The sequence below is a fragment of the Homo sapiens genome, chromosome 15 (assembly GCF_000001405.40).
Source record: "Homo sapiens chromosome 15, GRCh38.p14 Primary Assembly".
NCBI classification, from domain to species: domain Eukaryota; kingdom Metazoa; phylum Chordata; class Mammalia; order Primates; family Hominidae; genus Homo; species Homo sapiens.
This window is the reverse complement of record NC_000015.10, coordinates 20,005,401-20,014,945: the sequence shown is the minus strand read 5'-3', so window position 1 is coordinate 20,014,945 and position 9,545 is coordinate 20,005,401. Positions and strand designations below refer to the sequence as shown.

At 56.8% G+C, this 9,545-nt stretch overlaps 1 long non-coding RNA gene across 1 annotated transcript; it reads right to left on the bottom strand.

Annotated features, from left to right (window-relative positions):
* Positions 1-257: 257 nt before the first annotated feature.
* Positions 258-2,231, bottom strand: FAM30B (family with sequence similarity 30 member B). The gene is made up of 3 exons (XR_007064785.1): positions 2,040-2,231; positions 1,037-1,182; positions 258-840 (listed from the first exon to the last, which is right to left on the bottom strand). It is a non-coding gene; the product is annotated as a family with sequence similarity 30 member B (long non-coding RNA).
* Positions 2,232-9,545: the final 7,314 nt, after the last annotated feature.

The following is a 9,545-nucleotide window of genomic DNA, read 5'->3' as shown; positions in this document are numbered from 1 at the left end:
TACCATTATTAGGCAAACAACATACATAAGCTAATAAGAAAAAGAACAAATCCCTTAAGAAATCAGCAAAGGATATAACACAATTTCCAAAAGAAAACAAGTGGCTAGCACACATGAGGAAAACACTTTGTGAACAGACATTCTTCAGACCATTATTTATAATTATAAAATAGTTGAAAGCAAGATAGTGCCTGAAGAAATTATGGTGCATACATTAATGGGACTATTCTGCAAACATTCCCAATTATACTTGTCACATATCTGTGATAACGTGACAGCCAGCATTCATGGGGTGACCTCATTTGATAAAAGGGTGCAAAGCTCAACACACACTGTGAGATGACTGTGGTGTAAATACAAAGACCAAACCGTGAAAAGGAGTCCATCAATTAACTGATGCTTACCTTCAGTTTTGGGCTGATTTTTAAAGTATGCTATAAGCATATGCTCCTGTTATAACAGAATGGAGGGATTATGAGAGATGATGTAGGTGTGTCCTGGGCCTCCCCGGCCCACTGGGCCCTACAGATGCCTTCCCAGGCACTGCTGTCAGGGCTTCCCTCAGAGGGAGTCCTGTATTGACCTCACCACTAAGATCTGGAGCAGGGGATCCTTAGATATGGGTAGGGGTTATCTCACCTTAGGTCTGAATACGGGGTTGTCTTAGACTGTTTTGTGATGTTGTAATAGAACACCCAAGACTGGGAAGTTTATACTGAACGGAAATTTATTTCTCACAGTTCTAGAGGCTGTGAAGTCCAAGAGCAAGGTGCCAGAGCAAGTCCAAGAGCAAGGGAAAGTCCAAAGCAAGTCCAGGAGCATCTGGCAAGGACCTTCTTGCTGTGTCATCATATGGCAGAAGGCAAGAAAGAGAGCAAGAGGGGGCCGAACTCACCCTTTTATAACAGCGCCAATCCCACCCATGAGGTGGGGACCTTATGACCTAATCACTCTTCATACTGTTACAATGGCAATGAAATTTCAACATGAGTTTTGGAGGAGAGAAGCATTCAAACCACAGCAAGCGTGCTCCTACCTCCTCTCTCAGGGCATCTGCAGAAAGAGCTGCAACTGCACGTCCTTCCTCCGTCCATCCTCCGTCCCTTCCCGATGTCTGTGCATTTCCTGTGACCCAGGAGGTCTGGTGTAGGGGGTGCTCCTGCCTTAGGTCTGAGGCCCTGTCTGAAGAGGGGTAGGTGAGGAGGCCACCTGATTGTCTGGGCCAAGACAGTCACAGGATGAATCATTCATCATCAAGGAGGCTGAGGGTTGAGTCTCCAGGTCCAGGGAACTCCCCACAAAGTGCGAACCCTGCCCAGCTCCACACAGCCTCTGCTGGGGGACCCTGCTCTGGCACAGAGCCTGGGAACAGGTCTTGAGCTCAGCCAGAGTCTGCCTCCCTGTCATTTAGGAACTAAACCTAGCGGCAGGATGCTGGAGCCCAGCCCCCATCTGACCTTACAGGGCCAAGCCTGGGGCCCTGGGTTCCCCTCAAGGCGCAGCAGGACTGGAGCCCCAGGCAGTGCAGGAGTGGCCAAAGCTGGGGCTTCCTCCAGAGCCACCAAGCATCACGGCATCAGGAAGGGTAGGACCCTGGCCTCAGAAATTGGCACCAAAGCCCCAGAAGCTACCCTGGACACCATGGAGAGAGGCCTGGAGGGGAAGCACCAGGCACTGCCCCCCCTTCTGATCCCACCTGAGGTGGCTGCCAAGCCCAGAGAGCAGCTCTGATGTCCCCCAGCCCTGCAGCCCAGGGACACCTGTACTGTGCCCCTGTGGGACCCCTGGCCAGTCTGTGCAAAGAAGTCACCACCCTCTACTCAGAGACAGTGGGGGTCCTCTTCCCACATCCTCAGAGCATGGCCCGGCTGCTGCAGGGATGGTCTCCTGGAGGCCCCCCAGTGCTCTATTGTCAGGGCTCCCTCCACCCCCCTGCACCAAGAGAGAGCCAGACCCCAGCAAGGCTTCCAGTGGCTTCAGGTCACACCCCTAGGCTGACCCCAGCCCCATCAACACCTGCCTGAGAAAGCTCAATGCACCAGAACTGACCGTTTGCTCCAACTCTTGACCTCCCATTCTCAGAGCATCTGCTGAAAAGGCTGCAACTGCACATCCTTCCTCTGTCCCTTCCTGATGTCTGTGTGTCTCCTGTGGCCAGGAAGGTCTTTCTCGGGACCTGAGAGCCACTCCCTGAAGTGTCCCCATTGGGAAGGATGGGGCCTGTGTCTCCAGGCTCTGGGAGGACAGAATCCTGACCTCAACAGTGGCCAGCACGGACACAGCGGGCCCCATCCCAGGGACGCTGACCAGCACTGGGCAAATTTTCCCTTCCCCGACGACTGAGCCCCGAGCACCCTCCCTGCTCCCTCTACCCCCTCCCTTTTCAAGGCTGTGGCCTCTGCACAGACGACAATGGAGCTTGGCTCATTCCCCTAGAGTCGGTAGAGAGTTAATGACAAAACTGTTTCCTCCACCTGAACTCAGGTCTGCCTGTGTTTACCTGATCACAGCTGGTGGACAGTTTGGACAAACTTGCACACTCAGAGACACAGACCCTTCTAGAAATCATTATCTCCCCGCCCCTGGGACCCCTCTCCCGTGGAAGTCTGCTAGGCACTGGCCTGGGCCCTCCTGCTGTCCTAGGAGGCTGCTGACCTCCTGCCTGGCTCCTGTCCCCAGGTCCAGAGTCAGAGCAGACTCCAGGGATGCTGAAGGCTAGGAAGCCGCCCCTCCAGGCCAGGGTCTAGTGCAGGTGCCCAGGACAAGAAAGATTGTGAATGCAGGAATGACTGGGCCACACCCCTCCCATGCATGCCCCCTCCTGCCCTGCACCCCACAGCCCAGCCCCCCATGCTAGATGCCCCCCACAGCAGAGGTGCTGTTCTGTGATCCCCTGGGAAAGACGCCCTCAACCTCCACCCTGTCCCATGGCCCAAGGAAGACAAGACACAGGCCCTCTCCTCACAGTCTCCCCACCTGGCTCCTGTTGGGATCTTCAAGGTGTGAACAGGGAGGATGGTTGTCTGCGTGGCCCCTAGGAGCCCAGATCTTTGCTCCACAGACCCCAACCCAAGCACCCCCTTCTGCAGGGCCCAGCTCATCTGCCTCTTCCTCCCTTTGCTCTCCTCTCTTCGCCTCTGTGGGAAATCCGGGACTCAGCAGTAACCCTCAGGAAGCAGGGCCGAGGTGCCATTTAATAGGAGGCTTCGTCACAATGAAACTCTTAGAAAGACTTGACTATGATGATGACCGTGGCGTGGCTGTGAACACTGTCAGCTCCCACAGTTGCCGCAGCAAAAAATGTCCATAGACAGGGTGGGGGCCCGGGGTCATCTGCTGTCCTGCTCAGCCCACAGCATGCATGGAAAATCTGAGGTGCCACACCTGACACCCAGACCAGAACATGCCTCCCTCCAGGGTGACCTGCCATGTCCTGCATTGCTGGAGGGACAGGGGCAGCCTGTGAGGATCTGGGGCCAGGAGATGAATCCCATTAACCCAGAGGAAAACAAGCAGGACCTGAGCACCCTCCCCATTGAAGCTGACCTGCGCAGAGGGGCCTGGGCCCACCCCACACACTGGGGCGGAATGTGTGCAGGCCCCAGTCTCTGTGGGTGTTCTGCTAGCTGGGGCTTCCAGTGCCCACCCCACAACCAAAGTGAGCCACAGCCTCCAGAGCCCCCAAAGGAGATCCTGCCCACAAGCCCAGCCCCCACCCAGGAGGCCCCAGAGCTCAGGGCACCTGGGCAGATTCTGAACAGCCCCGAGTCACAGTGGGTATAACTGGAACAACCACTGTGAGAAAAGCTTTGTCCAAAACCGTCTCCTGGCCACTGCCGGAGGCCATGCCAGAGAGGGGAACAGCCGCCCCGAACCTAGGTCCTGCTCAGCTCACATGACCCCCAGCAGCCAGAGCACAACGGAGTCCCCACTGAATGGTGAGGATGGGGACCAGGGCTCCAGGGGGTCATGGAAGGGGCTGGACCCCATCCTACTGCTATGGCCCCGTGCCCCTGGCCAGAACTGACCCTACCACCGACAAGAGTCCCTCAGGGAAACGGGTCACTGGCACCCCCCAACATCAACCCCAGGCAGCACAGGCATAAACCCCACATCCAGAGCAGACTCCAGGAGCACATTCACCCCAATACCCTGGGGGACACCGACCCTGATGACTCCCCACTGGAGTCCACCCCAGAGTCCACCAGGATCAGAAACCCCTCCCCGTCTCTGTCCCTCACTCAGGACCTGCTGCGGGGCGGGCCCTGAGAGCAGACTGGGGCTTAGGGAACACCACTGTGGCCCCAACCTCGACCAGGACACAGGCCCTTCCTTCCTGCCCTGTGGCGGCACAGACTTTGGGGTCTGCGCAGGGAGGAAGCACAGAAGCCCCAGGCTGAGGTGGTGGGGGTGGAAGACCCCCAGGAGGTGGCCCACTTCCCTTCCTCCCAGCTGGAACACACCATGTCCTTCTTAAAATAGGGGTGTCATCCGAGGCAGGTCCTCCATGGAGCTCCCTTCAGGCTCCTCCTGGTACTCACTAGGCCTCAGTCCCAGATATGGGAATGCAGCCACCACAGGCACACCAGGCAGCCCAGACCCAGCCAGCCTGCAGTCCCCAAGCCCACATTCTGGAGCAGAGCAGGCTGTGTCTGGGAGAGTCTGGGCTCCCCACTCCCCACCTGCACACAGCCACCCACCCCTGTCCAGGCCCTATGCAGGAGGGTCAGAGCCCCCCATAGGGTACGGACTTAGGGTCACACTCACGTGCCTCCCCTCCTGGGTGAAGGGGTCTCATGACCAGATCCCCGCAGCAGCACTGGTCAAAGGTGGAGGCAGTGTCCCCAGGGCTACCCTGACCTGGCCCCTCAGGCTCCTCTAGCCCTGGCTGCCCTGCTATCCCTGGGAGGCCTGGACTCCACCAGACCACAGGTCCAGGGCACCACCCATAGGTGCCGCCCACACTCAGTTCACAGGAAGAAGATAAGCTCCAGACCCCCAAGACCAGGACTTGCCTTCCTGCCACCGCTTGTAGCTCCAGACCTCCATGTCTCCCCTGACCACTTACACATGGGCCAGGGAGCTATTCCACACAGATCAACCCCAAACCGGGACCGCCTGGCATGCGGGTCGCTGCCACTTCCCTCTCCATTTGCTCCCAGCACCTCTGTGCTCCTTCCCTCCTCCCTCCTTCAGGGGGACAGCCTGTGCAGCCCCTCCCTGCACCCCACACCCTGGGGACGCCCAACCCTGCCTCCAGCCCTTTCTACCCCGCTGCTCTTCCTGCCCATCCAGACAACCCTGGGGTCCCATCCCTGCAGCCCACACCCTGAGAAGACTGGACCCTGCCTTGGGCCCTTTCTGCCCTGCTGCTCTTGCCGCCCACCCAGACAATCCTGGGGTCCTGTCCCTGCAGTCACCACCCTGGTCTCCACCCAGACCCCTGTCTCTCCCTCCAGACACCCCTCCCAGGCCAACCCTGCACATGCAGGCCCTCCCCTCTTCTGCTGCCAGAGCCTCAGTTTCTCCCCCCTGTGCCTACCCACTGCCTCCTCCTGCCCACAACTTGAGCTCTTCCTCTCCTGGGGCCTCTGAGCCATGGCACTGACCGTGCACTCCCACCCACACACTGCCTTCACCTTCCTCCTGGACACTTTGGCTCCACTCCCCTCTTGGACATGGCCCTGGTATTTCCAGGACGAAGGCTCACCCAAGTCTTCCCCACACAGACCCTTGCCCTCACTCCCCATTTACAGGGAAATCTCCTGTGCACAGAAGCAGGGAGCTCAGCTCTTCCACAGGCAGAAGGCAATGAAAGAAATCGGCCTCCAGCGCCCTGATGCACATCCGCCTGTGTCTCTCACTGCCCACACCTGCAGGGAGGCTCGGCACTCCCTTTAAAGATGAGGGATCCAGGCAGCAACATCACGGGAGAATGCAGGGCTCCCAGACATCCCAACCCTCTTGCAGGCCTCTCCTGGGAAGAGACCTGCAGCCACCACCAAACAGCCATGGAGCCCGCTGCATAGTAACTGAGTCAGTGACTGACCTGGAGGGCAGGGGAGCAGTGAGCCGGAGCCCAGACCATAGGGACCGAGACCAGCCGCTGACATCCCGAGCCCCTCACTGGTGGCCCCAGAAAACTCATGGAAACAGGACGGACCCACATTCCCAGCTGGACCAGGGCAGAGACTGCTGAGCCCCGAGCACCAGCCCCAAGAAACACCAGGCAAAATCATCAGAGGAGGCTCCTGAGAAAGAGAGGAGGGGAGGTCTACCTCACCAGCAAATGCTTCCCTTAACCAAACACAGGGTCCACGCAACTCCCCCAGGACAAAGGAGGAGCCCCCTGTACAGCACTGGGCTCAGAGTCCTCTCCAAGACACCCTGAGTTTCAGACAAAAACCCCCTGGAAATCACAGTATCAGCAGGAGAACTGGCCAGAGACAGCAAGGGGGGACTCCGTGACACCCATGGGGACAGGAGGATTTTGTGGGGGCTTGTGTCACTGTGAGAATATTGTAATAGTACTACTTTCTATGCCCACAGTGACACAGCCCCAGTCCCAAAGCCCTGCTGTAAATGCTTCCACTTCTGGAGCTGAGGGGGAGCGTCTGGGAAGTAGGGCCTAGGGGTGTCCACCAATGCCAAAACACACCAGACTTCCCCCCAGACATCACCCCCACCAGCCAGCGAGCAGAGTAAACAGAAAATGAGAAGCAAGCTGGGGAAGCTGGCACAGGCCCCAAGGAAAGAGCTTTGGTGGGTGTGCAAGAGAAGATGCAGGCAGAGCCTGAGCAGGGCCTTTTACTGTTTCTGCTTTCCTGGGCAGAGAATTCCATAAACTGGTGTTCGAGATAAATGGCTGGGAGTGAGCCCAGGAGGACAGTGTGGGAAGGGCACAGGGAAGGAGGAGCAGCCTCTATCCCACACTGTCATCTTTCGAAAGTTTGCCCTGTGCCCACACTGCTGCATCATGGGATGCTTAACAGCTGATGTAGACACAGCTAAAGAGAGAATCAGTGAGAAGGATTTGCAGCACAGATCTGAATAAATTCTCCAGAATGTGGAGCCACACAGAAGCAAGCAAACAGAAAGTGCCTGATGCAAGGGCAAAGTACAGTGTGTACCTTCAGGCATTGCTGCTGGGCACAGACACTCTGAAAAGCCCTGGCAGGAACTCCCTGCAACAAAGCAGAGCCCTGCAGGCAATGCCAGCCCCAGAGCCCTCCCTGAGAACCTCATGGGCAAAGATGTGCAGAACATATGTTTGTCATAGCCCTAAACTGAGAATGAAGCAAACATCCATCTGAAGGAAAACAGGCAAATAAACGATGGCAGGTTCATGAAATGCAAACCCAGACAGCCACGAGGACAACAGTACAGGGTTACCAGGGTTACGGGCAACTCTGTGGTTGAGTTCATGACAATGCTGAGTAATTGGAGTAACAAAGGAAACTCCAAAAAATACTTTCAATATGATTTCTTCTAAATAAAATTTACACCTGGCAAAATGAACTATCTTCTTAAGGGATAAACTTTCCACTAGAAAAACTATAAGGAAAATCAAGAAAACGATGATCACATAAACACAGTTGTGGTTACTTCTACTGGGGAAGGAAGAGGGTGTGAACAGAGACACACAGGTTTGGCAAGTCTCCTAACAAGAACAGAACAAATACATTACAGTACCTTGAAAACAGCAGTTAAACTTCTAAATCGCAAGAAGAGGAAAATGTACACAGCTGTGTTTAGAAAATTCTCACTCCGGCACTGTTCATAATAGCAAAGACATTAACCCAGGTTGGATAAATAAACGATGACACAGGCAATTGCACAGTGATACAGACATACATTCAGTATATGAGACATCGATGATGTATCCCCAAAGAAATGACTTTAAAGAGAAAAGGCCTGATGTGTGGTAGCACTCATCTCCCTGGGCATCCCCGGACAGGCTGCAGGCTCACTGTGTGGCAGGGCAGGCCGGTACCTGCTGGCAGCTCCTGGGGCCAGATGTGGAGCAGGCACAGAGCCGTATCCCCCCGAGGACATATACCCCCAAGGATGGCACAGTCGGCACATTCCAGAGAGAAGCAACTGAGCCACACTCCCAGGCCAGAGCCTGAGAGGGACGCCCATGCACAGGGAAGCAGAGCCCAGCTCCTCCACAGCCAGCACCACCTGTGCAGGGGCTGCCATCTGGCAGGCACAGAGCGTGGGCTGGGAGGAGGGGCAGGGACACCAGGCAGGGTTGGCACCGACTGAAAATTACAGAAGTCTCATACATCTACCTCAGCCTTGCCTGACCTGGGCCACACCTGACCTGGACCTCACTTGGCCTGGACCTCACCTGGCCTAAGCCTCACCTGGCCTGGACCTCACCTCTGGGCTTCACCTGACCTCGGCCTCACCTGACTTGGACCTTGCCTGTCCCGAGCTCACATGATCTGGGCCTCACCTGACCTGGGTTTCACCTGACCTGGGCTTCACCTGACCTGGGCCTCATCTGACCTGGGCATCACTGGCCTGGATCTCACCTGGCCTGGGCTTCACCTGGCCTCGGGCCTCACCTGCACCTGCTCCAGGTGTTGCTGGAACCTCAGTAGCACTGAGGCTGCAAGGGCTCATCCAGGGTTGCAGAATGACTCTGGAACTCTCCCACATCTCACCTTTCTGGGTGGAGGCACCTGGTGGCCCAGGGAATATAAAAAGCCTGAGTGATGCCTGCGTGATTTGGGGGCAATTTATAAACCCAAAAGGACATGGCTATGGAATGGGTAGGGACAGTACAGACAGATATCAGCCTGAAATGGAGCCTCAGGACACAGGTGGGCACAGACACTGTCCACCTAAGCGAGGGGCAGACCCGAGTGTCCCCGCAGCAGACCTGAGAGCGCTGGGCCCACAGCCTCCCCTCGGTGCCCTGCTACCTCCTCAGGTCAGCCCTGGACATCCCGAGTTTCCCCGGACCTGGCAGTAGGTTTGGGGTGAGGTCTGTGTCACTGTGGTATTATGATTTTTGGACTGGTTATTATACCCACAGTGTCACAGAGTCCATCAAAAACCCATCCCTGGGAGCCTTCTGCCATAGCCCTCCCCACAGTGGACCACCACATGCCGCGTTAGGATTTTGATCGAGGCCACAGCACCATGGGTGTAGTGGCTACCACAGCAGTGCAACCTGTGTCCCAAACACACAGGGCAGCAGGCACAATGGACAAGCCCAAGAGTGACCACCCTGAGCTCCTGCCCGCCAGCCCCGGAGACCATGAAACAGATGGCCAGGATTATCCCATAGGTCAGCCAGACCTGAGTCCAACAGGTCTGCATCGCTGCTGCCCTCCAGTACCAGTCCAGATGGGGACAGGCACCCAGCAGTCCCGGAAGCCCCTCCCTCAAGGCTGAGCCACATGTGTGGACCCTGAGAACCCCCCAGGTCCGAGTAGGGGCAGGAGGGCGGGGCTGGTCCTGTGCGCTGTCCCTGCCCCTGTGGTCCCTGGCCTGCCTGGCTCTGACACCTGAGCCTCTCCTGGGTCATTTCC